The 27,007-nt window shown below is 47.6% G+C and overlaps 1 protein-coding gene across 5 annotated transcripts in view, besides 23 other annotated features; it reads left to right on the forward strand.

The window, feature by feature from the left end:
- Positions 2,032-2,326: an enhancer, noted in NCBI's record as "tiled region #3639; K562 Activating DNase unmatched - State 12:CtcfO". NCBI's record gives its function as "activates a minimal TATA promoter and a strong SV40 promoter by Sharpr-MPRA in K562 cells {active_cell/tissue: K562}" and the evidence as "EXISTENCE:reporter gene assay evidence [ECO:0000049][PMID:27701403]".
- Positions 6,450-7,119: an enhancer, noted in NCBI's record as "H3K27ac hESC enhancer chr16:30465507-30466176 (GRCh37/hg19 assembly coordinates)". NCBI's record gives its function as "activates a minimal SCP1, AML or CMV promoter by ChIP-STARR-seq in primed H9 embryonic stem cells {active_cell/tissue: H9 hESC(primed)}" and the evidence as "EXISTENCE:reporter gene assay evidence [ECO:0000049][PMID:30033119]".
- Positions 8,988-9,489: an enhancer, noted in NCBI's record as "H3K4me1 hESC enhancer chr16:30468045-30468546 (GRCh37/hg19 assembly coordinates)". NCBI's record gives its function as "activates a minimal SCP1, AML or CMV promoter by ChIP-STARR-seq in primed H9 embryonic stem cells {active_cell/tissue: H9 hESC(primed)}" and the evidence as "EXISTENCE:reporter gene assay evidence [ECO:0000049][PMID:30033119]".
- Positions 9,490-9,989: an enhancer, noted in NCBI's record as "H3K4me1 hESC enhancer chr16:30468547-30469046 (GRCh37/hg19 assembly coordinates)". NCBI's record gives its function as "activates a minimal SCP1, AML or CMV promoter by ChIP-STARR-seq in primed H9 embryonic stem cells {active_cell/tissue: H9 hESC(primed)}" and the evidence as "EXISTENCE:reporter gene assay evidence [ECO:0000049][PMID:30033119]".
- Positions 10,791-11,291: an enhancer, noted in NCBI's record as "H3K4me1 hESC enhancer chr16:30469848-30470348 (GRCh37/hg19 assembly coordinates)". NCBI's record gives its function as "activates a minimal SCP1, AML or CMV promoter by ChIP-STARR-seq in primed H9 embryonic stem cells {active_cell/tissue: H9 hESC(primed)}" and the evidence as "EXISTENCE:reporter gene assay evidence [ECO:0000049][PMID:30033119]".
- Positions 10,791-12,315: a biological region, named in NCBI's record as "H3K4me1 hESC enhancers GRCh37_chr16:30469848-30470348 and GRCh37_chr16:30470349-30470849". NCBI's record gives its function as "regulatory_interactions: ITGAL | SEPHS2".
- Positions 10,906-11,406: a transcriptional cis regulatory region, noted in NCBI's record as "chr16:30469963-30470463 region (GRCh37/hg19 assembly coordinates) targeted for CRISPR interference". NCBI's record gives its function as "positively regulates ITGAL and SEPHS2 gene expression in Jurkat T cells {active_cell/tissue: Jurkat}" and the evidence as "EXISTENCE:mutant phenotype evidence [ECO:0000015][PMID:33828297]".
- Positions 10,913-12,315: a transcriptional cis regulatory region, noted in NCBI's record as "chr16:30469970-30471372 region (GRCh37/hg19 assembly coordinates) targeted for CRISPR interference". NCBI's record gives its function as "positively regulates ITGAL gene expression in GM12878 lymphoblastoid cells {active_cell/tissue: GM12878}" and the evidence as "EXISTENCE:mutant phenotype evidence [ECO:0000015][PMID:33828297]".
- Positions 10,923-11,423: a transcriptional cis regulatory region, noted in NCBI's record as "chr16:30469980-30470480 region (GRCh37/hg19 assembly coordinates) targeted for CRISPR interference". NCBI's record gives its function as "positively regulates ITGAL gene expression in anti-CD3- and PMA-stimulated Jurkat T cells {active_cell/tissue: Jurkat(+anti-CD3 and PMA for 4hr)}" and the evidence as "EXISTENCE:mutant phenotype evidence [ECO:0000015][PMID:33828297]".
- Positions 10,946-11,446: a transcriptional cis regulatory region, noted in NCBI's record as "chr16:30470003-30470503 region (GRCh37/hg19 assembly coordinates) targeted for CRISPR interference". NCBI's record gives its function as "positively regulates SEPHS2 gene expression in LPS-stimulated THP-1 monocytic cells {active_cell/tissue: THP-1(+LPS for 4hr)}" and the evidence as "EXISTENCE:mutant phenotype evidence [ECO:0000015][PMID:33828297]".
- Positions 10,951-11,451: a transcriptional cis regulatory region, noted in NCBI's record as "chr16:30470008-30470508 region (GRCh37/hg19 assembly coordinates) targeted for CRISPR interference". NCBI's record gives its function as "positively regulates SEPHS2 gene expression in THP-1 monocytic cells {active_cell/tissue: THP-1}" and the evidence as "EXISTENCE:mutant phenotype evidence [ECO:0000015][PMID:33828297]".
- Positions 11,097-11,326: an enhancer, noted in NCBI's record as "active region_10703". NCBI's record gives its function as "activates an Ori minimal core promoter by ATAC-STARR-seq in GM12878 lymphoblastoid cells {active_cell/tissue: GM12878}" and the evidence as "EXISTENCE:reporter gene assay evidence [ECO:0000049][PMID:35858748]".
- Positions 11,292-11,792: an enhancer, noted in NCBI's record as "H3K4me1 hESC enhancer chr16:30470349-30470849 (GRCh37/hg19 assembly coordinates)". NCBI's record gives its function as "activates a minimal SCP1, AML or CMV promoter by ChIP-STARR-seq in primed H9 embryonic stem cells {active_cell/tissue: H9 hESC(primed)}" and the evidence as "EXISTENCE:reporter gene assay evidence [ECO:0000049][PMID:30033119]".
- Positions 11,337-11,416: an enhancer, noted in NCBI's record as "active region_10704". NCBI's record gives its function as "activates an Ori minimal core promoter by ATAC-STARR-seq in GM12878 lymphoblastoid cells {active_cell/tissue: GM12878}" and the evidence as "EXISTENCE:reporter gene assay evidence [ECO:0000049][PMID:35858748]".
- Positions 11,547-11,716: an enhancer, noted in NCBI's record as "active region_10705". NCBI's record gives its function as "activates an Ori minimal core promoter by ATAC-STARR-seq in GM12878 lymphoblastoid cells {active_cell/tissue: GM12878}" and the evidence as "EXISTENCE:reporter gene assay evidence [ECO:0000049][PMID:35858748]".
- Positions 23,859-24,068: an enhancer, noted in NCBI's record as "active region_10706". NCBI's record gives its function as "activates an Ori minimal core promoter by ATAC-STARR-seq in GM12878 lymphoblastoid cells {active_cell/tissue: GM12878}" and the evidence as "EXISTENCE:reporter gene assay evidence [ECO:0000049][PMID:35858748]".
- Positions 24,601-25,175: a transcriptional cis regulatory region, noted in NCBI's record as "chr16:30483658-30484232 region (GRCh37/hg19 assembly coordinates) targeted for CRISPR interference". NCBI's record gives its function as "positively regulates ITGAL gene expression in GM12878 lymphoblastoid cells {active_cell/tissue: GM12878}" and the evidence as "EXISTENCE:mutant phenotype evidence [ECO:0000015][PMID:33828297]".
- Positions 24,601-25,236: a biological region, named in NCBI's record as "CRISPRi-FlowFISH-validated ITGAL regulatory element GRCh37_chr16:30483658-30484232". NCBI's record gives its function as "regulatory_interactions: ITGAL | SEPHS2".
- Positions 24,613-25,175: a transcriptional cis regulatory region, noted in NCBI's record as "chr16:30483670-30484232 region (GRCh37/hg19 assembly coordinates) targeted for CRISPR interference". NCBI's record gives its function as "positively regulates ITGAL and SEPHS2 gene expression in Jurkat T cells {active_cell/tissue: Jurkat}" and the evidence as "EXISTENCE:mutant phenotype evidence [ECO:0000015][PMID:33828297]".
- Positions 24,616-25,175: a transcriptional cis regulatory region, noted in NCBI's record as "chr16:30483673-30484232 region (GRCh37/hg19 assembly coordinates) targeted for CRISPR interference". NCBI's record gives its function as "positively regulates ITGAL gene expression in anti-CD3- and PMA-stimulated Jurkat T cells {active_cell/tissue: Jurkat(+anti-CD3 and PMA for 4hr)}" and the evidence as "EXISTENCE:mutant phenotype evidence [ECO:0000015][PMID:33828297]".
- Positions 24,626-25,175: a transcriptional cis regulatory region, noted in NCBI's record as "chr16:30483683-30484232 region (GRCh37/hg19 assembly coordinates) targeted for CRISPR interference". NCBI's record gives its function as "negatively regulates SEPHS2 gene expression in THP-1 monocytic cells {active_cell/tissue: THP-1}" and the evidence as "EXISTENCE:mutant phenotype evidence [ECO:0000015][PMID:33828297]".
- Positions 24,654-25,175: a transcriptional cis regulatory region, noted in NCBI's record as "chr16:30483711-30484232 region (GRCh37/hg19 assembly coordinates) targeted for CRISPR interference". NCBI's record gives its function as "negatively regulates SEPHS2 gene expression in LPS-stimulated THP-1 monocytic cells {active_cell/tissue: THP-1(+LPS for 4hr)}" and the evidence as "EXISTENCE:mutant phenotype evidence [ECO:0000015][PMID:33828297]".
- Positions 25,006-27,007, forward strand: part of ITGAL (integrin subunit alpha L) — a 50,444-nt gene continuing 48,442 nt past the window's right edge. For all 5 annotated transcript variants that reach the window (XR_950794.2, NM_002209.3, XM_005255313.1 and 2 more), the window contains exons 1-2: positions 25,006-25,162; positions 26,460-26,562. Coding sequence is in view for 4 of the 5 variants with exons in the window: in NM_002209.3 (NP_002200.2) it covers positions 25,102-25,162; positions 26,460-26,562 (164 nt within the window). In the remaining variant the exon portion in view is untranslated. The remainder of the gene's footprint in view (positions 25,163-26,459; positions 26,563-27,007) is intronic.
- Positions 25,147-25,236: an enhancer, noted in NCBI's record as "active region_10707". NCBI's record gives its function as "activates an Ori minimal core promoter by ATAC-STARR-seq in GM12878 lymphoblastoid cells {active_cell/tissue: GM12878}" and the evidence as "EXISTENCE:reporter gene assay evidence [ECO:0000049][PMID:35858748]".

The following is a 27,007-nucleotide window of genomic DNA, read 5'->3' on the forward strand; positions in this document are numbered from 1 at the left end:
AACATTGTATTATGTCTGTAATCACCTCACCTGAGTTAAAAAGTGACTAGGTCAGGTGGTGCTGGTTATACATTCTCTTAGTTCTTTGGACTTCTCCCTCTCTGCACTTAGTACAATTTGCAATTCTTTTTTTTGTTTGTTTGTTTTTTGAAATGGAGTCTCGCACTGTCACCCGGGCTGGAATGCAGTGGTGCGATCTCGGCTCACTGCAACCTCCACCTCCCGGGTTCAAGCAGTTCTCCTTCCTCAGCCTCCCAAGTAGCTGGGATTACAGGCACCCGCCACCACAACCAACGAATGTTTTGTATTTTTAGTGAGACAGGGTTTCACCATGTTGGCCAGAATGGTCTTGATCTCTTGACCTCATGATCCGCCCCCTTCGGCCTCCCAAAGTTCTGGGATTACAGGCATGAGCCACCGCGCCTGGCCCTGTAATTCTTTAATCATGTGATAATGCCATGCCTATCTGTCTGGCCCCCTCGTTTGTAAGCTCTGCAGAGCAGGGGCTGCTCTGTTGTTTCTGTTTGTTTGTTTTGTTTTGTTTTGAGACAGAGTTTTGCTTTTGTCACCCAGGCTGGAGTGCAGTGGCTTGACCTCAGCTCACTGCAACCTCTGCCTCCCAGGTTCAAGCGATTCTCCTGCCTCAGCCTCCCGAGTAGCTGGGATTATAGGCACCTGCCACCATGCCTGCCTAATTTTTGTATTTTTAGTAGAGATGGGGTTTCACCATGTTGGCCAGGCTGGTCTCGAACTCCTGACCTCAGGTGATCCTCCTGCCTCAGCCTCCCAAAGTGCTGGGATTACAGGCATGAGCCACTGCACCTGGCTGAGGGGCCTCCTTGATAATACTCATAACCTCTACTCCATGCCCTTCTAGGAAGCAGAGGTCTTTGGGGGAAGGTTTTCATCCATACAGTTCCCTGTTGCTTCTACTTGGAGCAATATTCACTTGGGCCAGTGCAAAGAAAGTCACGAATTTGCCTTGGCCAGTGACCAACCTGCTGTGCTCAGAATGACACATGCATGTGCCTCTGTGCAGGTGACCCATAGGGGCCTCTCAAGGGTGACCCTGAGGGCTGCAGCCTCAGCACCTGGAAGCATTCCTTTTGTTCTTTTCTTATTTCTCACTGAGAGATCCATTGAGCTATGTTTTACTATTTGTGGCCGAGCGCAGTGGCTCACGCCTGTAATACCAGTACTTTGGGAGGCCAATGTGAGCGGATCACCTGAGGTCAAGAGTTCGAGACCAGCCTAGCCAATATGGCGAAACCCTGTCTCTACTAAAAATACAAAAATTAGCCGGGCATGGTGGTGCATGCCTGTAATTTCAGCTACTCAAGAGGCTGAGGCAGGAGGATAACTTGAACCCAGGAGGCGAAGGTTGCAGTGAGCAGAGATCGCACCAATGCACTCCAGTCTGGGTGCCAGAGTGAGACTCCATCTCAAAAAAAAAAAAAGAACAAGAAGACCTCGCTTGAGCCTGGGAGTTCAAGTTCAAGGTGACAGTAAGCTATGGATTGCGCCACTGCACTCCAGGTTGGGAAAAGAATAACAGGATTGGAGTCCTAGCCCCTGGTTTGCTTTTCACATACAACAACAGCATTTGGGTCAGGTATGTGGCCCAATTGTGATAATCATTTGGGGTTATAACACTACACTTGAAGGATCAGTACATCTAAAAAATTCTTATTTTTTACTGTGGTAAAATATACATACCTTTAGTACACTATTCCCATTTCCCCCTTTTTTTTTTTGAGACAGGGTCTTGCTGTGTCACCCCAGCTGGAGTGCAGTGGTTTAATCATAGCTCACTGCAGCCTTGACCTCCTGGGCTCAAGCAATCCTCCCACCCCAGCCTCCCAAGTAGCTGGGACTACAGGTGCACACCACCACTCCTGCTAAATTTTTGTAGAGATAGGGTCTTGATATGTTTCCCAGGCTGATCTCCAACTCCTGGGCTCAAATGATCCACTCACCTGAGCCTCCCAAAATGCTGGGATTACAGGTGTGAACTACAACACCCGGCCCCATTTTTTTTCTTATTGTAAAATCATTCTGTTGTCATTGTAGAAAAATCACAAAATACAGCTTCGTAAAAAGGAGGAATGTTAAAACGACTTGAAATCCCATTTCCCAAAGAGAAATCCTTGGGATACCTTAATGGATGGTGTTTTAAACATTTTCCACCTACACGCATCACCCTCCAGGGGGCGCCCTGTCACCCTCCGCCCTGTGGGGAACCCTGCCCTGTGTGCTGTGTATGTATGTTTTTTTTTAAATTAGCAAAAATGGGATAATCTCATTTATTTATTTATTTTATTATTTTTTGGTGAGACGGAGTCCCACTCTGTCGCCCAGGTTGGAGTGCAGTGGCACAATTTTGACTCACTGCAACCTCCGCGCCCCAAGTTCAAGCGATTCTCCTGTCTCAGCCTCCTGAGTAGCTGGGATTACAGGTGCCTGCCACCATGCCCAGCTAATTTTTTGTATTTTTAGTAGAGATGGGGTTTCACCATGTTGGCCAGGCTGGTCTCGAACTCCTGACCTCAGGTGATCCGCCCACCTTGGCCTCCGAAAGTGCTGGGGTTACAGATGTGAGCCACCGCGGCCAGCATCATTTTTTCTAGTAAGAAATAAAATAATGGTTAAAAATTACCTGAGATACCTGGTTATAGATGCTCAACACTCCCTGGGTTCATTCACAAATACTTACTGAAGACCTCCTCTGTGCCAGCCACTGTGCTAGACCCGGGGATACAGCAGTGAACACAACAGACAAAATTGTCTCACAGCAGTGAGCCAAGATCATGCTACTGCACTCCAGCCTGGGCAACAAGAGCAAAATTCCGTCTCAAAAAAAAAAAAAAATTCAAGAGGTTTGGAACCTCTGAAGTGTCCTTCCCACAGTCTGAGCCTGCACTACCTTGGCTCAGCATCTGAATGAGTGCCCCCATTGCCGGTCCCTGACCTCGCCCTGACCCTGACCCAGGCCCGGCATGGCCTCAGTTCCCAAGCCCCACTTCCCCTGGACTTGCCTGTGGGACTTAAGAGTAGCAGGCTCTGCCTCAGAAGACTTGAGAGATGACACCTATGGCCACCACCCTCACACCTTCATCAGCTGCCACCATCCCAAGTGACAGAAAGCTTCATCTTTGTATCTGGGGCAAATGTGAGAAGGCCTAGTGCATCATCTCTTGCCAAAAAAGCAAGAGAGCTATGCCTGGTGGGGCAAGCCTGTAGTCCCAGCTAGTTGGGAGGCTGAGGCAGGAGGATCACTGGAGTCCAGGACTTCAAGGCCATGGTGTGCTATGATGGCACCTGTGAATGGCCACTGCACTCCAGCCCAGGCAACACAGTGCTGCTCTCAATTGCCCTTTGGAATGGCTGTTTCTCTGCCCAAGAAACACTATTATCTTCAAGAGGAAGTCTCTCCTCTGTGATCTCATACCCTGGTCTTTCCTCTGTTCTAGCATTTACCATTCTGGGTTTTCTGTGACACCTGTGAGCCCTACAGCTGGAACCCCGCTTCACTGGTCTCCATGTGCCCAAGGCTTAGCATGGGGTCTGGTACAAAGAATGTCTTTTTTTTTTTTTTTTTTTTTTTGAGACGGAGTCTCGCTCTGTCGCCCAGGCTGGAGTGCAGTGGCACGATCTCGGCTCACTGCAACCTCCGCCTCCCAGGTTCAAGCGATTCTCCCGCCTCAGTCTCCCCAGTAGCTGGGACTATTTTTAGTAGAGATGGGGTTTCATCATGTTGTCCAGGTTGGTCTCGAACTCCTGACCTCAAGTGATCCGCCAGCCTCGGCCTCCCAAAGTGCTGGGATTACAGCCGTGAACTACCGCGTCTGGCCAAAAATTAATTATTATTATTATTATTTTTTTTTTTAGACGGAGTCTTGCTCTGTAGCCCAGTCTGGAGTGCAATGGCATGATCTCGGCTCACTGCAACCTCTACCTCCTGGGTTCAAGTAATTCTCCTGCCTCAGCCTCCTGAGTAGCTGGGATTACAGGCGCCTGCCACCTCGCCCAGCTAATTTTTGTATTTTTAATAGAGACAGGGTTTCGCCATGTTGGCCAGGCTGGTCTCAAACTCCTGACCTCAGGTGATCCGCCTGCCTCGGCCTCCCAAAGTGCTAGGATTATAGGCATGAGCCACCGCACCCAGCCAATTAATTTTTTAAAAAAGAGATTAAGTCTCTCACCCATGCTGCACTCACCCGGGCTGGAGTGCAGTGGTGCAATCACAGTTCACTGCAGCCTGGAACTCCTGGGCTCAAGCAATCCTCCTGCCTTATCTTCCCACCATGCCAAGCTTATCTCAAATCCGTTATTAATTTTTTTTATTTTAAAAGTAATATGTGCTCTTTATTTGAAAACAAACATTATGGAGATATATACACAGCCAGCCCTTTGTATCTGTGAGTTTCATGTCCGTGCATTCAACAAATCATGCATTGAAAATGATTATAAAAGGAAGAATGAATGGTTACCTCTGCACTGAACATGTACAGACTTTTTTCTTGTAATTATTTTCTAAACAATACAGTGTTCCAATGATTTACATGCCATTTACATTGTATTAGGTATTATAAGTAATCTAGAAATGATGTGTGTAGATTACATACAAATACTATGCCATTTTATATAAGGGGCTTGAGCATCTGTGGAACTTGTTATTTGCAGGGCTTCCTGGAATCAATCCACCATTGATATGGGAGGGACGACTGTGTATATCAATATCAATATCAATATCAATATCATTGCACATGGAAGGTTCCCAAAACCTCATCTCTTCTGCGCTCTATAAATAAGACATCTCTAAAATCTAGAAATAACTGTGCAGAGTTCCTCACACCAATTTGTTTTAAAGTATACCTAACAAATGTTTAGTAGGCAGAGATGTGGAAGTGAGAGGCTGAGAAAAAACAGATTTCCTGCCTAACAGATAAACGAGATGTGACACACACTGTTTTGTATCTTGATTTTTTTCTGCTTACATTATCATAACAATCTTTCTATGCTAGCACATGTAAATCTACCTTTTTATTTTGGGGACAGGGTCTGGTTTTGTTGCCCAGGCTGGAGGGCAGTGGCGTGACCTCAGCTCACTGCAACCTCCGCCTCCTGGGCTGAAATGATCCTCCCACGTCAGCCTCCCTGTAGCAGGACGAGCCACAGACAAAACTCCTCAGACACCGAGTTAAAGAAGGAAGGGGTTTATTCGGCTGGGGGGCATCGGCAAGACTCCTGTCTCAAGAGCCAAGCTCCCCGAGTGAGCAATTCCTGTCCCTTTTAAGGGCTCACAACTCTAAGGGGGTGTGCGTGAGAAGGTCGTGATCGATTGAGCAAGCAGGGGGTATGTGACTGGGGGCTGCATGCACCGGTAATTAGATCGGAACAAAACAGGATAAGGATTTTCACAGTGCTTTTCTATAGAATGTCTGTAATATATAGATAACATAACCGATTAGGTCAGGGGTTGATCTTTAACTACCAGGCCCAGGGTGTGGTGCCGGGCTGTCTGCTTGTGGATTTCATTTCTGCCTTTTAGTTTTTACTTTTTCTTTCTTTGGAGGCAGAAATTGGGCATAAGATAATATAAGGGGAGGTCTCCTCCCTTTCCCCGAGTAGCTGGAACCACAGGCATGCACCACCATACCCAGCTAATTTTTGTATCTTTTGCAAAGATGGGGTTTTGTCACGTTGCGGAAGCTGGTTTCAAACTCCTGGGCTCAGGCGAACTGCTCACTTTGGCCTCCCAAAGTGTTGGGATTACAGGCATGAACCACTGTGCCCAGTCGATATTTTGTTAAAGGATGGATAATATTCTATGAAATTGATATATTTAATTGATTTAACCAACTTATTGTTGGATATTTCATTTGTCTTGTCTTCTTCCTCTTTTTTTTTAATTAAAAGATTTCCTTGGTCAGGTGTGGTGGTTCATGCCAAGTAATCCCAACACTTTAGAAGACTGAGATGGGAGGATTGCTTGAGCTTAGGAGTTTGAGACCACCCTGGGCAACATGGCTAGACCCCTGTCTCTACAAAAAATAAAATTAGCTGGGCATGTGATACATGCCTGTGGTCCCAGCTACTTGGGAGGCTGAGGTGGGAGGATCACTGCAGTGAACCAAGATTGTGCCACTGCACTCCAGCCTGGGTGACAGAATAAGACCCTGCATTAAAAAAAAAAAAAAAAAAAAAGATTTCCTGGAACATGCATTTGCATTGATTGAATGATTGCTTGATTGATTGATTTTAGGCTAGTCAGGTGAAGCAGTGGGAGCGGAGAAAGACACAGGAATCTGTAACTGGTTGTGATCAATTCGCTGTAAACACCACTGCACTCGGGCCAGCCCCTTTTGCCTTTATTCTGAGGCATCAGATGTCCTAAAAGTTGAAGCAGGTATTCCCCGTGGGGTGATCAGAGGACTTGGGAATTTGTCTTATGGGGGAATATTAGTTATAACTAAGGATGTTCAGCCAGAAAGAGAGAAGACTAAGAGGTGACATGAGCCCTGTCCAAATTTCTGAAGGAGCTTCCAGGTGTGGAATGGAACAGACTCGTCCTGGGCATTTCCACAGGTCAGAGCCACCTCTCAGCATGGGAGTCACAGGGAAGCATTTCCTATAGGCAGAGCTGCAATGCATCTCTGTGGGAAGTTGTGAGCATCCTGTCTGAAGGTGCGTAAGCAGGGCTGGCTGAACACTTAGTGAGAGGGAATAGAGACAGGACTTGTGTGAGGCAGGGGAGCGTTGGATTAGATGATATTTGGGGTCCTTTCAAATCTGACATTTTATTACTACACTTCTAGTTGATGTCTCACGCGTCCATGTGAAGAAACCACCAAACAGGCTTTGTGTGAGCAACAAGGCTGTTTATTTCACCTGGGTGCAGGCGGGCTGAGTCCGAAAAGAGAGTCAACAAAGGGTGGTGGATTATCATTAGTTCTTACAGGTTTTGGGATGGGGGTGAAGAGCCATGTTTTGCGGGCAGGGGTGGATCTCACAAAGTACATTCTCAAGGGTGGGGAGAATTACAAAGAACCTTCTTAAGGGTTGGGGAGATTACAAAGTACCTTCTTAAGGGTGGGGGAGATTACAAAGTACATTGAACAGTTAGGGTGGGGCAGAAACAAATCACAATGGTGGAATGTCATCAGTTAAGGCTATTTTCACTTCTTTTGTGGATCTTCAGTTGCTTCAGGCCATCTGGATGTATATGTGCAGGTCACGGTATGATGGCTTAGCTTGGGCTCAGAGGCCTGACAGTTGAAGGTATCATAAAAGGTGACCCGGAGAAGTTGGCCCAATGCCTTAGAGGCCTGGGGATATTTTGGCAAGTGGTGATGGGGGATGTGTTTTCCAGGCGAAGGGAACAGGCTGATCAGAGAGACTGAGGAAGGGAAGCAGGGTGTGAGGCCAAAGAGAGAGACTGGGCCAAGCTATGGCACAAGATTGAACGTTACCGCAGGTGACAAATAATTTTGTTGTGTCTGCCTAGCACGACAACCTCCACATAAGAACTACTTCCTCAGCCAGATGAGGCGGCCGAGTGCTGGGTTTGCATGTAGGATATGACCCTGTTCCTTTGACCATAGGTTACCACAGGATGGACATTTGACTCCAGCTGGGCCAATCAGAGATCCTCCCTCCTAAGACCTAAGACTGTGGAAATTGAGACTTTAGCCTCCATGGTCATTCTTTTCTTTCTTTCTTTTTTTTTTTTGAGACAGGGTCTCGCTCTGTCTCACTGGCAGTGCCTGAGTGCAGTGCAGTGCAGTGCAGTGGCAAGATCTTAGCTCACTGCAACCTCCGCCTCCCAGGTTCAAGCGATTCTCCTGCCTCAGCCTCCCAAGTAGCTGGGACTACAGGCGCCCACCACCCCTGGCTAATTTTTGTATTTTTAGTAGAGATGGGGTTTCACCATGTTGGCCAGGCTGGTCTCAAACTCCTAACCTCAAATGATCCACCCACCTTGGCCTCCCAAAGTGCTGGGATTACAGGCATGAGCCACTGCGCCCGGGTGTCCATGGTCTTTCAATTAAGTAAATGCAAAGTTGGGAACTGACGTTGCCACTGAAGGGCAGTTATCTTCACTGTGTGTTGAAGAGGAGAAAGTAGCCTGTAGAGAGAGGGAGAATGGAGGGATGTGGGGGCCTCCTCCAGCCGCCCAGGAGACCTGATGTCTTTGGGTTCCTCTAAGGGTTTTTTTGATAGCCCTTAAATTATTGGGGTATTGTTTGTTTGGTTATTTGTTTGTTTTTTGAGACAGGGTCTGGCTCTGTCACCCAGGCTGGAGTGTAGTGGTATGATTATAGTTCCCTGCAGCCTCAGCCTCCTGGGCTCAAGGGATCCTCCTGCCTCAGCCTCCTGAGTAGCTGGGACTGCAGGCGAATGCCACCATGTGCGGCTACAAATTATTCTTTTAGTTCTAGCCAGCTCTCCGGGGCTCCTCCGACTTGCCACAGTATGAGCTTTGGCCAAGAACTTCCAAAATAATAGGGAGCCATCCAGGGTTTTGAAGGGAGTCATCCACGGCTCCCCAGTGAGCTTCAGGAATATTTAGCTGGAGGAGGAGTGGCATAAGGGGCTGAGAGGAGTCCAGCAGCTAGTGAAGCCAGCAGGAGGCCTTCGTAATCATTCAGCTATTAGAGGTGCTATTGGAGATGATTAGAAAGATGCTGTAGGAATTCCCCTAAACACTTTAGCTCCTTACACCATGTAAACACATCAGTCAGCAACAGGTTTCTGTTTGATTTGTTTTCTTTTTCTTTCTTTCTTTTTCTTTTTCTTTTTTTGAGATGGGGTCTTGCTCTGCTCAGCCCAGGCTGGATCACCACTCACTGCAGCCTCAAGCTCCTGGGCTCAAGGGATCCTCTCATCTCAGCCTCCTGAGTTGCTAGGACTACAGATGTGTGCCACCATGCCTGGCTAATATTTTTATTTTTTGTAGAAATGGGGACTCACTACATTGCCCACAAGCTGGTCTTGAGCTCTCGGCTTCAAGCCATCCCACCTTGGCCTCCCAAAGCCCTGGGAATACAGGCATGAGCCACTGCACCCGGCCAAGGAACAAAGTCTTAGTCATCCTTGGGGAGTAGTGACACTGCCTGTGGCATGGTGGCTATTATTCAAGTGTGTTTCTGGCTCAGCCTCCCTGAATATAAATCTGGGTTCAAGAGGCAGACGGAGAGAGAAAGAAGAATCGGTAAAAACTGAAAGAGCTAGCCGGGCAAGGTGGCTCATACCTGTAATTCTAGCACTTTGGGAGGCTGAGGGAGGCGGATCACTTGATGTCAGGAGTTCGAGGCCAGCCCGACCAACATGGTGAAACCCTGTTTCTTCTGAAAATACAAAAATTAGAGGGCGTGGTGTCACATGCCTGTAGTCCCAGCTACTCGGGAGGCCGAGACAGGAGAATTGCTTGAACCTGGGAGGCTGAGGTTGCAGTGAACTGATACCGCACCACTGCACTCCAGTCTGGGTGACAGAGCAAGACTCCATCTCAAAACAAACAAACAAACAAAGAAACAAGACAGAAACAGCTACTTCGCTAGCCTGTACACCCTGGAGCCCAAGCAATAGCTTTGGGACACCTTCTGCATGATGCAAAGCAGAGAGAGAGCCCTTCTCCCCAGCTCTGCCACAGCTCCTTCAGCCCTGGCACATCCAGGGCTCAGGGCCAAAAGCAAGGGGAATGGCTGTGTCTGAGGTCAGACTATAGAACAGCAGCCAAGGGGCAAAAGCCTGGAGCAGCTCACACTCCAGGGAGAGGAGTGGAGTACCAGTGAGATAGTGCTGGAGGCTTTCTGCAAGAACTCAGGTTTGCAGGAAGCTAGGGAACCTGGAATGGCAGGTGGAGGCAATGAGGCCACAGCATGGGTATGTGAAAGTTAATATGATGCTATTTGAACTCACAGGTTGGTGAGTTCTGTAGAGGTGCGAGCTATATATATACAGAAGGAGGCCCGAGGCCCAGAGAGAGGAATACCTTCATCCACATTATTTGTTTGTTTTTTGTTTTTTATTTTGAGACACAGCCTTGCTCTGTTGCCCAGGCTGGAATGCAGTCAAGTGATCTCTGCTCACTGCAACCTCCACCTCCTGGGCTCAAGCGATTCTCATGCCTTAGCCTCCTGAGAAGCTGGGATTACAGGCATCTGCCACCACGCTGAGCTAATTTTGTATTTTTAGTAGAGACAGGGTTTAACCACACTGGCCAGGCTGGTCTCGAACTTTTGGCCTAGGTGATTCGCCTTTCTTAGCCTCTCAAAGTGCTGGGATTACAGGTGTGAGCCACCGTGCCCAGCCCATTCATCGACATTAAAGGCAAGAGAGTGTTGCCCATATCTGGTTCCCAGGTCTCTGGCCCTCAACTATATGCTCGTTTGCAAACACACACACACACACACACACACACACGCACAAACACACACACACACATCAACCATCCACTTAGAGGCTGGAAATGAAGCCTCTGGAGTGAGCTCACCCAGTGACAACAGATCCTATGGACTGCATATGAACACCCCCAAGAGAAGCCATCCTTCCAAAATCCTACCTGTGGTGCGTTCAGCTCAGCCCTTCCTCAGAAAATCCAGGTTGAGTTTCTAGAACTTTAGTTTTTATTTATTTATTTATTTATTTATTTATTTATTTATTTGAGACGGAGTTTTGCTCTGTCACCGAGGCTGTAGTGCAGTGACGCGATCTCAGCTCACTGCAACCTCTGCCTCCCGGATTCAAGCAATTCTCCTGCCTCAGCCTCCCGAGTACCTGGGACTATAGGTGCCCACCACCACGCCTGGCTAATTTTTTTGTATTTTTAGTAGAGACGGGGTTTCATAATGTCGGTCGGGCTGGTCTTGAACTCTTGACCTCAAATGGTCCACGCGCCTCGGCCTCCCAAAGTGCTGGGACTACAGGCGTGAGCCACTGTGCCCGGCCTTGAGTTTCTAGAACTTTGGAATGCCCAGACCCACCTACCATGAGATCACAAGGGCCTTGGAATATGATGGTGGCCTCCAAGCTCCACCCATCGTAAGCTCCCACCACCACCTTAGAAACCGCTCGCTTGAGGTGCAGCCTCCCCTTAACCTCTTGGCAGGTGGGAAGAAGGGGAAGGAGCAGTGTGGTGACCCACAAACATCTGTCAGAGCCATCCTAACCGAAGTGGCCTTTGTCACGCACCCAGGAGGAAGTGGTGGGTGGGGAGCCAGGCTGGCGCAGAGAGCAGTAGCTGTCAGTGAGGCAGCGCCTTCCCCAGCAAGGCCTCTGTGAAGCTGCAGACAGACCTTTAGCCCTGAGCCCTCCAGGGACTGGAGGCAGCCAGGCCTGGTGGACTAGCGTGGGGCAGGGAAGCCCTAGCCTATTTCTCCAGCCCGAGCCCTGCTGCCGGCTCCATATCCATGGCCCATTTGTCCCAAGTGTACCCAGCAGCCTCCTGCTGCCACACCCCAGCTTACTCTACTTTTTTTTCTTTTTTTGAGGCAAGGTCTCATTCTGTCACTCGGGGGGGTGCAGTGGCGCTATTTCGGCTCACCACAGCCTTGACCACCGCAGGCTCAGGAGACCCTCCCACTTCAGCCTCCTGGGTAGCTGGACCACAGGCACATGCCACCACAGCCACCTAATTTAAAAAATTTTTTTCTTCGTAGAGAAGGGGTTTTGCCATTTTGCCCAGGCTTACCCAAGATTTTATTCATTTGATTCATTTAAAAGCCACAAGAGGCCAGGAATGGTGGCTCACGCCTGTAATCCCAGCACTTAAGGAGGCCAAGGCAGGTGGATCACCTGTCAGGAGTTTGAGAACAGCCTGGACAACATGGTGAAACCCCGTCTCTACTACAAATACAAAAAATTAACTGGGCATGGTGGTGCGCGCTACTCGGGAGGCTAAGGCAGGGGAATCGCTTGAAACCAGGAGGCGGAGTTTGCAGTGACCCGAGATCGTGCTACTGCAGTCCAGCCTGGGTGACAGAGCGAGACTCTGTCTCGAAATAAAAATAAAAAAATAAGTAAAAGCCAAAAGAGAGAAAGGTTCAGTAGGAAAGTATGTGGACTGGGACTAGAGGGGCCATGAGGAATGGAGGCAGCTCTGCAAGTTATTGCTGTTGTTGTTTTTTTTTTTTTCTTAAGGTAATTTAACAGAAATGTTTAGTTTAATGGCATAATTAAAAACCAACCAACCAATCAACTTTCTCTTCTACCTATGGAAAGAACAATAAAAATAAATCAAGGACTTTAAAAAATTTAAAAATAAAGCGGCCGGGCACGGCGGCTCATGCCTGTAATCCCAGCACTTTGGGAGGCCGAGGCGGGCGGATCACGAGGTCAGGAGATCGAGACCATCCTGGCTAACATGGTGAAACCCTGTCTCTACTAAAAATACAAAAAATTAGCCAGGCGTGGTTGCAGGCGCCTGTAGTCCCAGCTATTCGGGAGGCTGAGGCAGGAGAATGGCCTGAACCTGGGGGGCGGAGCTTGCAGTGAGCCGAGATCGCGTCACTGCACTCCAGCCTGGGCGACAGAGCGAGACTCCGTCTCAAAAATAAATAAATAAATCAATTTAAAAATAAATCAAGGACTTCTAGATCTTTTGCATAAAACAGCTTAAAAAGAGAAGGGGTTGCCGGGTGCGGTGGCTCACACCTATAATCCCCAGCACTTTGGGAGGCCGAGGCGGGCGGATCATGAGGTCAGAAGTTCAAGACCAGCCTGACCAACATGGTGAAACCCTGTCTTTACTAAAAATACAAAAATTAGCTGGGTGTGGTGGTGTGCACCTGTAATCCCAGCTACTCAGGCGGCTGAGGCAGGGGAATCGCTTGAACCTGGGAGGCGGAGGTTGCAGTGAGCCGAGATTGTGCCACTGCACTCCAGCCTGGGTGGCAGAGCGAGACTCTATCTCAAAAAAAATTAAATAAATAAATAGAGAGGAAGGGGAAGGGGAGGGGGCGCAACTGTTGCTAATGGAATGCTATAATGCACAAAGTCAAGGATTTAATAAATTCTAAAACTCTCTACATGAATTAGTGATAACCATATTATTAGAAATATAAATGCATAGAATATAAAGTATATGGTATTAAAAACAGACCTTGCTAATATAAACATATATAAAGTATGTCACTTCTCTTGTAATAACAGTATAACGATTGATCTACAGTTTGCCCTTTGCCTGGTACTCTTAAACCACTCCCCTGATGGTCAACGTTGACATTGGATCAACAGCTGCTGAACTCAGGAGACCCCACAGATGTCTAGATTCAGCACCTGGGGGCCCCACGTACCCTCTATGCTGTGTGTTCCCATGACTCCAGAAATAATTAATTGCAATTTGCATTGTCAAGTCCACAGGCAAGTTTGAAATCTAGCTAGAAGTAGCAACAAAGGCAAAATAAGCTGGAGTTTGTTAGAAAAGCAATGAGAAGTTTTCTTAAAATGCTTCCAGTTCAAGTCAGAATTAAGGTAAACATCAGGTCCCACCAGCTTTGCAGAGCTGTAGATGTTTTGTTCTTTCAAAAAAAAAAAAAAAAAGAATCTATAATAAGCATGTTTGGCCTGGCATGGTGGCTCATGCCTGTAACCCCAGCACTACTTTGGGAGGCCAAGGCGGGCGGATCACCTGAGGTCAGGAGTTTGAGACCAGCCTGACCAACATGGTGAAACCATGTCTCTACTTGAACCCGTGCCTCAGCCTCCCAAGTAGCTGGGACTACAGGCTTGAGCCACCATGCCTGGTGAATTTTTTAATTTTTTATTTTTAGTAGAGACAGGAATATAAATTAGTATAACCACTATGGAGAACAGTTTGGAGGTTCCTCAAAAACTAAAAATAGAGCTACCATATGATTCAGCAATCTCATACAGAGCATATACCCAAAAGAAAGACAATCAGGGCCGGTCGTGGTGGCTCACACCTGTAATCCCAGCACGCTGGGAGGCTGAGCCAGGCGGATCACTTAAGGCTGAGGCAGGAGAATCACTTGAATCCAGGAGGCAGAGGTTGCAGTGGGCTGAGATTGGGCCATTGCACTCCAGCCTGGGTGACAGATGGAGACTCCATCTCAAAAAAAAAAAAAAAAAAGACAATCAGCCTATCAAAGAGATATGTGAACTCACACGTTTGTTGCAGCACTGTTTCCAATAGCTAAGATTTGGAAGGAACTTAAGTATCTATCAACAGATGAATGGATAAAGAAAATGTGGTTCAGGCCGGGTGTGGTGGCTCACACCTGTAATCCCAGCACTTCGGGAGGCCAAGGCAGATGGATCACTTGGGGTCAGGTGTTTCAGACCAGTCTGGCTAACATAATGAATCCCTATCCCTACTAAACATACAAAAATTAGCCAGGCATAGTGGCAGATGCTTGTAATCCCAGCTATATGGGAGGCTGAGGCAGGAGAATCACTTGAATCCAGGAGGAGGAGGTTGCAGTGAACCAAGATTGTGCCACTGCACTGCAGCCTGGGTGATGAAACAAGACCCTGTCACCCTGTCAAAAAAAAAAAAAAAAAAAAAGAATGAACAAGACCCACTATTTGCTAACACAACAGGGTGACTGTAGTCCACAATAACTTAACTGTACATTTCAATATAACTGAAAGAGTGTAATTGGATTGTTTAAAACATAAAGCATAAATGCTTGAAGGGATGGATATCCCATTCTCCATGATGTGATTATTTCACATTGCATACCTGTGTCAAAACATCTCACGTACCCCATAAATATATATACCTACTACATTCCCACAAAATTTGAAATAAAACTTTTTTTATAAAACTGCAACAACAGCTAGGTGCAGTGGCTCATGCCTGTAATCCCAGCACTCTGAGAGGCCGAGGCGGGCAGATCATCTGAGGTCAGGAGTTCAAGACCAGCCTGGCCAACATGGTGAAACCCTGTCTCTCTTAAAAACACAAAAATTAGCTGGGCGTGGTGGTGGGTGCCTGTAATCTCAGCTACTTGGGAGGCTGAGGCAGGAGAATCGCTTGAACCCAGGAGGTAGAACTTGCAGTGAGCCAAGACCACACCATTCCACTCCAGCCTGGGCAACAAGAGCAAAACTCTGTCTCAAAAAAATAAGAATGCAACAACATGGACGAATTTCAATGGCATTATGCTGAGTGAATGAAGCCAGGCACAAAAGGCTACAGACTATACGCCATGGTTTGAAGATGTCCCCCAAAAGCATGTGTTAAAAAAAGAATCCCCAATGCAACAGTGTTGGGAGGTGGGGCCTAATGGGAGGTGTTTAGGTCATGGAGGCTCTGCCTCCCTAAATAGATTAATGCTGATTATAAAGGGACTGGTGGGAGGCTGAGACAGAGAACTGCTTGAACCTGGGAGGCGGAGGTTGCGGTGAGCCAAGATCACACCACTGTACTCCAGCCTGGGCTACAGAGCAAGACTCTGTCTCAAAAAAAAAAAAAAAAAAAAAAAAAACGGGACTTAATGCTATGAGTTCAATCTCTTGTTTTTTTTGTTTGTTTGTTTGTTTTTTATTTTTCGTTTTTGTTTGGAATGCTGTCTCCTTCAAAAGATGTGATGTGATACCTTCTACTGTGGGATGACACAGCAAGAAGGCCCTCACCAGATGCAGGTCCTTCAGCCTTGGAATTCCCAGCCTCCAGAACCATAAGCCAAATAATAAATCTCTGTTCTTTATGAATTACCCAGTCTCAGGTATTCTGTCCGAGCAGCACAAAACAGACTAAGACCCTACATGATTCCTTTTTAGGCTATTCTGAAAAAGCAAAACTGTAGGAAAAGAGACAGATCAATAGTTGTCAGGGAGTTGGGGTAAATGGAAGAAATTTACTACTAAGTAGTAAAAAAGGGGCATTTGAGTGTGATGGAAATATTCTATATCTTGATTGTCATAGTGGTTAATCAACGGTATATATTTGTCAAAACTCATGAACTCTACTCTTTTAAACAGTGAATGTTAATAAGTGTAGATGATACATAAACAAATCTGGCTTTTAGTTTTTAATTTAATTTAATTTTTAAAAATAGAGATGAGGTCTCACTGTATTGCCCAGGCTGGTGTTGAACTCCTGGGCTCAAGTGATCCTCCCACCTCAGCCTCCGAAAGTGCTGGGATTACAGGTGTGAGCCACCACCCCCAGCCTAAATCTGGCTTTAAAGAGTCCTGGGAGATTTATGTATTTCAAAAATTAGATGGAGGGTTTTTGGTTTTCACTGTCTTGGTGGCTATGGGGATGCTCATTGTCCAAGCTGCCTGTTTCATTCTAAAGCAACGGTTCTACTCAAGGGATTTCATATCTTCATGTCCAGATTGGACACTGGAACCCGCCTTGCAGCCTCTAAATCCAGGGGTTTGGGATTCTGTCTCCAGACCTCCACACATCACCCTCCAGGACTGCCTCTTCCAGCACAGAGAGTCACAGACATTGATCGCCCTCACTTGCAGGACCAGAAGCATTCTTCAAGGCCCAGTCTCTGGGAATTTAGCCCTCTTGTTTTTCTTTGGCGGGGGGGCGGATGGAGTCTTGCTCCGTCGCCCAGGCTGGAGTGCAGTGGTGCAATCTCTGCTCACTGCAACCTCTGCTTCCTGATTCAAATGATTCTCTTGCCCCAGCCTTCCCAGTAGCTGGAATTACAGCCACGCAGCACCATACCCAGCTAATTTATATACATGTTTTAGTAGAGACGGGGTTTTGCTATGTAGGCCAGGCTGGTCTTGAACTCCTGACCTCAGGTGATCTGCCCACCTCGGCCTTCCAAAGTGCTGGGATTACAGGCATGAGCCACCATGCCCGGCCTAACCCTCTTCGTTCAACCCCTTCAGCCCATCCCTTTTGGACAATACAGCTCTTTGCTTCTAAGAATCTAGACCTTCAAGAGCAAAAGGCTCTTTTTTTTTTTTTGAGACAGAGTCTTGCTCTGTTGCTCAGGCTGGAGTGCAGTGGCGCGATCTCTGCTCACTGCACCCTCAGACTGCTGGGTTCAAGTGATTCTCCTGCCTCAGCCTCCCGAGTAGCTGGGATTACAGGCGCCCGCCACCACGCCAGGCTAATTTTTGTATTTTTAATAGAGATGGAGTTTTACCATGTTGGCCAGGCTGGTCTTGAACTCCTGACCTCATGATCTGCCTGCCTCAGCCTCCCAAAGTGCTGGGATTACAGGGGTGAGCCACTGTGCCCAGCAAAAGCAAAAGCCTCTTAACTCTCCTTAGGGGCAGGGGCAACCCCAAACATTTACTCATTCAGTAATACTTACTAATCATCTACTATGCTTCAGGCACTGTTTTAGGTCCTGGGGATAGACCAATGAAGAAAAACAAATAATAACAATACTTCCTCTGTGGAGTTTACATTCTAGTAGGAAAAATGGACAATAAACTGGACAGCAAAGTAAATTAGATCATATAGGGCCAGGCGCAGTGGCTCAGGCCTATAGTCCCACCACTTTGGGAGGCCAAGGCGAGCGGATCACCTGAGGTCAGGAGTTCGAGACCAGTCTGGGCAACATGGTGAAACCCTGTCTCTACTAAAAATACAAAAATTAGCCAGGCATGGTGGTGCGCACCTGTAATCCCAGCTGCTCTGGAGGCTGAGGTAGGAGAATTGCTTGAACTCCGGAGGTGGAGGTGGCAGTGAGCCAAGATCATGCCACTGCACTCCAGCCTGGGCATAAGAGTGAGACTCCATATAAAAAAAAAAAATAGATAGTACAGAAGGAGGCTATAAATGTAAAGGAGAAGCTGACATTCAAGCAGAGACTGAAAGGACACGAGGGTACAAGCCATGTATGAGGCTTTCTTTTTTTTTTTTTTTAAGATGGAGTCTAGCATTGTCACCAGGCTAGAGTGCAGTGGTGCGATCTCGGCTCACTGCAACCTCCACCTCCTGGGTTCAAGCAATTCTCCTGCCTCAGCCTCCCAAGGAGCTGGGATTACAGGCAAGCACAGTCATGCCCAGCTAAATTTTGTATTTTTAGTAGAGACAGGGTTTCATCATGTTGGCCAGGATGGTCTCGATCTCCTGACCTTGTGATCCGCCCACCTTGGCCTCCCAAAGTGCTGGGACTACAGGCATCAGCCACCGAGCCCGGCCATGTATGAGGCTTTCTTGGGAAAGAGCATTCAAGCAAGAGAACAGGCATGCTGGAATGATCACAGTCCAGGGCAGCAGCGTGACTGGTGAGGAGAGGGCCAGAGGGCCATGAAGTCAGAGAGAGAACGAGATCTCTGATGGGTTAAATCTCTGTAGGCCACAGTGAGAACTTTGGCTTGTATTTTGAGTGAAATATGGAGCCACTGGAGGATTTTTTTTTCCTTTTTTATAATTTTTCCTTTCAACTGTAGAGATGGGGATCTCACTATATTGCCCAGGCTGGTCTCAAATTCCTGGCCTGAGGTGCTCCTCCCACCTCGGCCTCCCAAAGTGCTGGAGTAACAGGTGTGAGCCACTGCCCCTGGCTACACTGGAGGGTTCTGAATAAGAAAGTGACATGATCTGGCTTTCCCCACCCCCATCCCTACCCGCTGTTTACTGATCCTCCCAGCCCCTAGCAACTGCCATTCTACTTTGTCTTTCTTTCTTTTCCTTCCTTCCTTCCTTTCATCTTTCTTTCTTTCATCTTTCTTTCCTCTTTTTCTTTCTTTCTTCCTTTCTCTGTCTCTCTCTGTCTCCCTTTCTTTCTTTCTTTCTTTCTTTCTTTCTTTCTTTCTTTCTTTCTTTCTTTCTTTCTTTCCTTCCTTTCTCTCTCTCTCTCTCTCTCTCTCTTTCTTTCTTTCTTGGGACAGAGTCCCACTCTGTTATCCAGGCTGGAGTGCAGTGACGCGATCTTGGCTCACTGCAATCTCCGCCTCCCAGGTTCAAGCGATTCTTGTGCCTCAGCCTCCCGAGTAGCTGGGATTACAAGCGTGTGCCACCATGCCCAGCTAATTTTTGTATTTTTAGTAGAGACAGGGTTTTACCATGTTGTCCAGGCTGGTCTCGAACTCCTGACCTCAAGTGATCTACCCGCCTCGGCCTCCCAATGTGTTGGGATTACAGGCATGAACCACCATGCCCAGCCTTGCTTATTTTAAATCTGAAAACATAATATGATAAAAACGTATAAGCTTGCCTGCTGAAAATTAAACCCTAATTCAAGTCTAAATTTTGAAGATGGCTTGAGGGAAAACCTTCACACAGGAGATGGCTGACTTAGCCATTAATTCTCAGATGTTCTGTGGTGAGATAATTACAGTTTTTCCAAACAGGTCAAACCTGTATGGTTAACTAATAGAACTAATTTTTTTTCTTTTCTTTCTTTCTTTCTTTTTTTTTTTTTTTTGAGACAGAATCTCCCTCTGTTGTTCAAGCTAGAGTGCAGTGGCTTGATCTTGGCTCACTGCAATCTGTGCCTCCCAGGTTCATGTGATTCTCCTGCCTCAGCCTCCTGAGTAGCTGGGATTAGCGCGTGCCACAATGCCTGGCTAATTTTTGTATTTTTAGTAGAGATGGGGTTTCACCATGTTGGCCAGGCTGGTCTCGAACTCCTGACCTCAGGTGAGCCGCCCACCTCGGCCTCCAAAAGTGTTGGGATTACAGGCATGAACCACAGTGCCTGGCCTAAGTTTTTTTTATTCATGAAAAATATATGGCTTCAATTGTTAACAATGATTCCTCTTGGGATTTAGGGATGGGCGGTGGACACTAAAACAATGCTTGGGGCCGGGCACGGTGGCTCACGCCTGTAATCCCAGCACTTGGGGAGGCCGAGGTGAGTGGATCACGAGGTCAGGAGATCGAGACCATCCTGGCTAACATGGTGAAACCCCGTCTCTAGTAAAAATACAAAAAATTAGCTGGGCTTGGTGGCGGGCACCTGTAGTCCCAGCTACTCGGGAGGCTGAGGCAGGAGAATGGTGTGAACCCGGGAGGCGGAGCTTGCAGTGAGCTGAGATCACACCACTGCACTCCAGCCTGGGTGACAGAGCGAGACTCCGTCTCAAAAAAAAAAAAAAAAAACAATGCTTATCCTTCTTTACACATTCCATAGTGTTTGAATCTAAAAACTTATACTCTTTTTGTAATTTCAGAGCAAAACAAAAGAATTTGGTTGGAACTGCTCTACAGAGAATCAAAGAAATCAGCCTGAATTATCTGATCTTAACTGAATTTTCAAAAGACTGTCTAATACCTTCTAATTACCACAAGCCAGCTTGTCCTTTTCCAGCCGCCTGGCAGTACAGATGATAGATAATCCGTCTGAAAAAGGCTTCCTCAGGGCAGTGACATCTTTCCAGGTTGAACGGGATTTCTTCACCGCACAGGGAGAGTCTGAAGATCCTTCCCAATTTCTTGTAAACGAATATAGTTCCTTCACTCTGTTGTGTTTTAAATATTTTTATGTTTTGGTTTGTTTGTTTGTTTGTTTGTGTATAAGGATAGGGTATCACTCTGTAACCCAGGCTGCAGGACAGTGGCCTGATCACAGCTCACTGCAGCCTCTACCTCCTGGACTCAAGTGCTCCTCCTACCTCAGTTTCCCGAGTAGCTAGGACTACGTGCGTGCACCAGCACACTTGGCTAATTTTTTATTTTTATTTTTAGTAGACACAAGGGTCTTGCTAAGTTGCCCAGGCTGGTCTCAAACTCCTGAGCTCAAGCAATCCGCCCACTTTGACCTCCCAAAGGGCTGGGATTACAGGTGTAAGCCACCATGCACGGCCAATATTTTTTGTTTTTTAATGGTAGTTTAATTTTTTTTTTTTTGAGACAGTCTTACTCCTGTTGCCCAGACTGGAGTGCAATGGCGTGATCTTGGCTCCCTGCAAGCTCCACCTCCTGGGTTCAAGTAATTCTCTTGCCTCAGCCTCCCGAGTAGCTGGGATTACAGGCATGCGCCACCACGCCCGGCTAATTTTGTATTTTTAGTAGAGATGGGGTTTCTCCATGTTGGTCAGGCTGGTCTTGAACTCCCAACCTCAGGTAATCCACCCGCCACGGCCTCCCAAAGTGCTGGGATTACAGGCATGAGCCGTGGTGCCCAGCCTATTTTTTATTTATTTTTTATTTTTTGAGATGGAGTCTTGCTCTGTTGCCTAGGCTGGAGTGCAATGGCGCGATCTCATCTCACTGCAACCTCTGCCTCCTGGGTTCAAGCTATTCTTCTGTCTCAGCCTCCCAAGTAGCTGAGATTACAGGCGTGCACCACCATGCCCAGCTAATTTTTGTATTTTTAGTAGAGGCAGAGTTTCACCATGTTGGCCAGGCTGGTCTCGAACTCCTGACCTCAGGGGTTCTGCCCACCTTGGCCTCCCAAAGTGCTGGGATTATACGTGTGAACTACTGCGCCTAATTTTTTTAAGTGGTAAAGTTATACATCCTCATTGTAAAAAAAAAAATGCAGACCATATAGAAATGTATAAATCTCATTTTACAGAGCTAACCACTGTTTAAAGTATGGTTGTATATCCTTTCCAATTTAACAAATATATACATATATATAATTTCATGTTTATTTTTTATTGAGATACAATTCACATACCATAAATCACCATTCTAAGGTATACAATTCACCAGGCACAGGGCTGTAATCCCAGCACTTTGGGAGGCTAAGGAGAGAGGATCAGTTGAGCCCAGGAGTTTGAGACCTGCCTAGACAGCATAGTGAAACCCTGTCTCTACAAAAAATACAAAAATTAGCTGGGCATGGTGGCACACACCTGTAGTTCCAGCTACTTGGGAGGCTGAGGTGGGAGGATTGCTTGAGTCAGGGAAGTCGAGGCTGCAGTGAGCCATGATTGCACCACTGCACTCCAGCCTGGGTGACAAAACAAGATCCTGTCTCAAAAATTTAAAAAAAAGAAGTATAGAATTCAGTGATTTTTAAATAGATTCACAAAATTGTGCAATCATTACCACAGTCTATTTCCAGAACATTTCATCACCTAAAATGAAACCCTATGCCCATTAGTACTCGCTCCCTAGCCTCCATTTCCCCAGCAAGCACCAACTTGCTTTCTGTCTCTCTAGATTTGCGTTCTGGATATTTCACTTAACGGAGTCAGACTATATGTGACTTTTTTTTTTGCTGGCTTCTTTCACTAAGCATATTTTCAAGGCTTACTCATATTGTAGCATGTACCAGTACTCTACTTTTTTTTTTTTTTTGAGATGGAGTCTCACTCTGTCACCCAGGCAGGAGTGCAGTGGCACGATCTTCGCTCACTGCAACCTCTGTCTCCCGGGTTCAAGAGATTTTCCTGCCTCAGCCTCCCGAGTAGCTGGAATTACAGGCGTGTGCCACCATACCCGGCTAGTTTTTGTATTTTTAGTAGAGACGGGGTTTCACCATGTCGGCCAGGCTGGTCTCGAACTCCTGACCTCAGCTGATTTGCCTGCCTTGGCCTCCCAAAGTGCTGGGACTACAGGTGTGAATCGCCAGCCTGATTCTTTTTTACAGGCAAATAATATTACATTGCATGGCTATACCTTATTTTGTTTATCCATTTATCAGCTGATAGACATGTAGGCTGTTTCCAGTTTGGGGCTAGTGTGAGTCATTATTCATACTGCTATGAGCATACATGTATAAGTTTTTGTACGAACATATGATTTCAATTCTTTTGGGTATATACCTAGGAGGAGAACTTCTGGGTCATATAGTAACTCTATGTTTAACGTTTTGTTTTTGTTTCCTGAGACGGAGTCTCACTCTGTTGCCCAGGCTGGAGTACAGTGGTGTGATCTTAGTTTACTGCAACCTCTGCCTCCCAGGTTCAAGCAATTCTCCTGCCTCAGCCTCTCGAGTAGCTGGGACTACAGGGCGCACCACCACACCCAGATAATTTTTGTACTTTTAGTAGAGACGGGATTTTGCCATGTTGCCCAGGCTGGTCTCAAACTCCTGACCTCAGGAGTTCTCATGTCAGCCTCCCAAAGTGCTGGGATTACAGGGATGAGCCACCATGCCTGGCCTATGTTTAACTGTTTTAAAGAACTGTTGGGCTAGGTGCGGTGGCTCACGTTTGCAATCCCAGCACTTTGAGAGGCTGAGGCGGGCAAATAATTTGAGCTCAGAAATTCAAGACCAGCCTGGGCAAGGTAGAGAGACCCCCATGTCTACAAAAAATAAAAAAGTAGTCAGGTGTGGTGGCCCGCACCTGTAGTTCCAGCTACTCAGGACGCTGAGGTGGGAGAATGACTCGAGCCCGTGAGGTTGAGGCTGCAGTGAGCCGAGATCACACCACTCCAGCCTAGGCAAGAGTGAGACCCTCTCTCAAAAAAAAAAAAAAAAAAAAAAAAAAAAAGAACCATCAAAATGTTTTGCACAGCAGTCACGCCATTTTACATTTCTGCCAGCAATGTGCACCAGGCTTCCAGTTTCTTCACATCTTCACTAACTCTTATTTCCTTTGCTTTAAACTCTAACCATCAAAGTAGGTGTAAAGGGTATCTCACTGTGGTTTTGATTTGCATTTCTCTAATGACTAATAGTGTTAAGTATCATTTCATGTGCATGTTGGCCATTTATATGTCATTGGAGAAATGTCTACTCAAACCGTTTGCTCATTTAGAAACTTAGGTAGGTTGGTCTGAGTGCAGTGGTGTTTAAAACTAATTTTTTTTTGAGACAAAGTCTCACTCTGTCGCCCAGGCTGGAATGCAATGGTGAGATCTTGGCTCACTACAACCTCCATCTCCTGGGTTCAAGCAATTCTTCTGCCTCAGCCTCTCAAGTAGCTGGGATTACAGGCATGCGCCACCACGCCTGGCTAATTTTTGTATTTTTGGTAGAGACGGGGGTTTCTCCATGTTGGCCAGGCTGGTCTCGAACTCTTGACCTCAGGTGATCCACCTGCCTCGGCCTCCCACAGGGCTAGGATTAGAGGTGTGAGCCACCGCACCAGGCCGTTTAAAACTAATGGAGCACAACCAGTTACCAATATCTTTGTTCCTTCTCCACTCCCTCTGCTTCACTTGACTAGCCTAAAATAAATAAATTTAAAAAACTGGGCACAGTGGCTCACACCTGTAATCCCAGCACTTTGGGAGGCCGAGGCAGGAGGATTACTTGAGCATAGGAGTTCAAGATCAGCCTGGGCAACATAGTGAAAAACCATCTCAAAAAAGAAAAATTAGCCAGGCATGGTGGCATGCACCTGTGGTTTCAGCTACTTAGGAGCAGAGGTGGGAGGATCGCTTGATTCTGGGAGTTCAAGGTTGCATTGAGCTGTGATCGCGCCAGTGCACTCTCGCTTGGGTGACAGAGCAAGACCTTGTCTCAAAAAATTTAAAACAAAACAAAAAAAACTGGTTATTTGTCTTTTTATTGTTGAATTATAAGAGTTTTAAAAAATATATTCTGGAAACAAATCCCTTATTAGAGATATGATTTGCAAATATTTTCTCCAATTTTTTTTTTTTTTAAAGACAAAGTTTCACTTTGTCGCCCAGGCTGGTCTTGATTCCTGGCTTCAAGAGATGCTCTTACCTCCACCTCCTGAAGCCCCAAAGGGCTGGAATTACAGCCAGTGAGCCACTGCACCCAGCCTCCAATTCTTTAGATTTTACATTTTAGAACCAAAATGGGTTAAATACACTGTTCTGTAATCTGCTCTTTTCTTTAATAGTAGTTCATGTACATCTTTCAAGGTCCAGAGAAAGCTCTCACTTTCTCCCCGTTTTATTTTTCCTTCCCTCATTCTTTTTCACTGCTGCATAGCATTCCATTGTAATTTTGCCACTGTTTATTAGACCAGTCCTCTGCTGAGCTTTACAGAGCCCTTAGTTGGGATGTTAGTGAGAAACCATGACAGCAGTGGAGACTGTCATCTCCCTGACATGCTGTCAGCTTTTGGATGATGTGAAAATGCAAGCAGGCACAGGAAATGTCTCTAACTTGCTTACACTTCCTCCCTGAACCCCTGCGGTTTCACAACTCCTGCAGGCACACCTCCCTCCCCGCCTGCCAGTGTCACCAGCCTGTTGCCTCTGTGAGAAAGTACCACTGTAAGAGGCCAAAGGGCATGATCATTTTCCTCTTTCACCCTGTCTAGGTTGCCAGCAAATCCCACGGGCCTCCTGACGCTGCCCCTGGGGCCACAGGTCCCTCGAGTGCTGGAAGGATGAAGGATTCCTGCATCACTGTGATGGCCATGGCGCTGCTGTCTGGGTTCTTTTTCTTCGGTAGGCAAGGGAGGAGGCAGGGGAAGGGACATGTGTCTGTGACCAGAGAAACTGCAGGGCTTGGTGCAGCTGGAGTAAACAAGGAGCTGCCCCCTAAAAGTGGGATTGGCCTTAGGGATATGGGGCCCAGGGATCTTGGAAGGAGAAAGGGGAGAGTGGGGAAATAAAAGAAACAAATAAGCAAGGGGTGGAGGCAAAGACAGAGAAGGGAGCATAAGAAGGGGCAGTGGGTTCTTTAAAAAGACAGATAGGGCCAGGCGCGGTGGCTCACGCCTGTAATCCCAGCACTTTAGGAGGCTAAAGTGGGCAGATTACTTGAGGTCAGGAATTTAAGACAGACTGGCCAACATGGCAAAACCTCGTCTCTACTAAAAATACAATAAAATTAGCTTGGCGTGGTGGCACAGGCCTGTAATCCCAGCTACTCGGGAGGCTGAGGCATGAGAATCATTTCATCCCATGAGGCAGAGGTTGCAGTGAGCCAAGCTCGTGCCAATGCACTCCAGCCTGGGTGACAGAGCAAGACTCTGTCTCTTAAACAACAAACAAACAAAAGGCAGATAGTTATTGAGTAGCTAGAGCTGGGAGGAGGGTGCTGGGTTCTGGGGCCACCTCTGCGCGTTTTAGGCAAGTCCTTTCCCCTTTCCAGCCCCACACCCTTCATCTAAACAAATGAAGGCCCAGCCTCCATGACATTCTAGGATGCTCTGAACTAAACTCCATGCGGGGAGAGAAAGCAGGGCGGAAAGGACAGCTGGGTGTGCCAGGGCGCCTGGGCAGGCTGACTGAGGGGGAAGGGAGCTGGGATCTACAGATGCTCCGAAAGACTGGCCCGGTGGGGTGGGGAGGCAGCCCCCCAGGGATCAGGGGAGCTACAATCTGAGACTGTGGGAGGAGGCGCCTGGGCCCCATGACCGCAGGAGAAGTGGGTGGCAGAGGCGCACCCGGCTCGGGGGCATCCCCATCTTGGCCTCTGCCTGAGAACTTGGTCACCCTCTGCCTTGGGGCCCCTTGGGTCTGCTCCTCTCTCTGGAGCCTCTAACTTCTCATCCTTCCTTTTTTGCAGAGAGGCCAAACGGGAAGTTGTATCCTCAGGCCCTGGGAAGAGCTTTCAGAGCTCTAGGGGGGCCGGGAGTTGCTCCTTCCATATTCCCAGAAGTCAACGCCCTGGAGGGGAAGCGCAGGGTGCGGGTGGCCTGGGGAGCGACATCCGGGTGGGCCTGGGATCGGCCACCTGCTGGGCACGTGCAGGGGCGGGGGTCCCTCGGTCGCAGCTGACGACCCTTGCCTTCCTCAGCGCCGGCCTCGAGCTACAACCTGGACGTGCGGGGCGCGCGGAGCTTCTCCCCACCGCGCGCCGGGAGGCACTTTGGATACCGCGTCCTGCAGGTCGGAAACGGGTGAGCTGTGCCCCACAAGTCCTCCTCCTGATGCCCGCCCTGGGGCAGCCCCCGAGGCGGTGGCCGCCTCCCCGACCCTCGCCTGGGCTAGTCGGTGGCACGAGGCAGCTCTCCAGGGGTTCCCGTCTGGAGGAGCCTGTGGTGGGAATCCTCAGAGACAGGAGTGAGGGATCAAAAAGCGGGATACACGCGATCAGGGAGGCCATGGAAGTGCAGAACAGGGAAGGATCCCAGCCCCAAAACACTTCGCATTGCCCAGTAGGTTCCTGACACTCCCTTACTCCCCTGCGAGCGCCTGGAAGCCAGGAGTCTGTTCTCTCTTCCTAACCCTTCTTAGATACGCCACCGCCCAGCACACAGTAGGTAAGCCATGAATGGCTTTTGAATCAAGGATTGAATGAATGTACTTATCATGAGACATTCTGGCGGATCATTCTCTGGGCCT

Source organism: Homo sapiens, chromosome 16 (assembly GCF_000001405.40).
Source record: "Homo sapiens chromosome 16, GRCh38.p14 Primary Assembly".
NCBI lineage: Eukaryota > Metazoa > Chordata > Mammalia > Primates > Hominidae > Homo > Homo sapiens.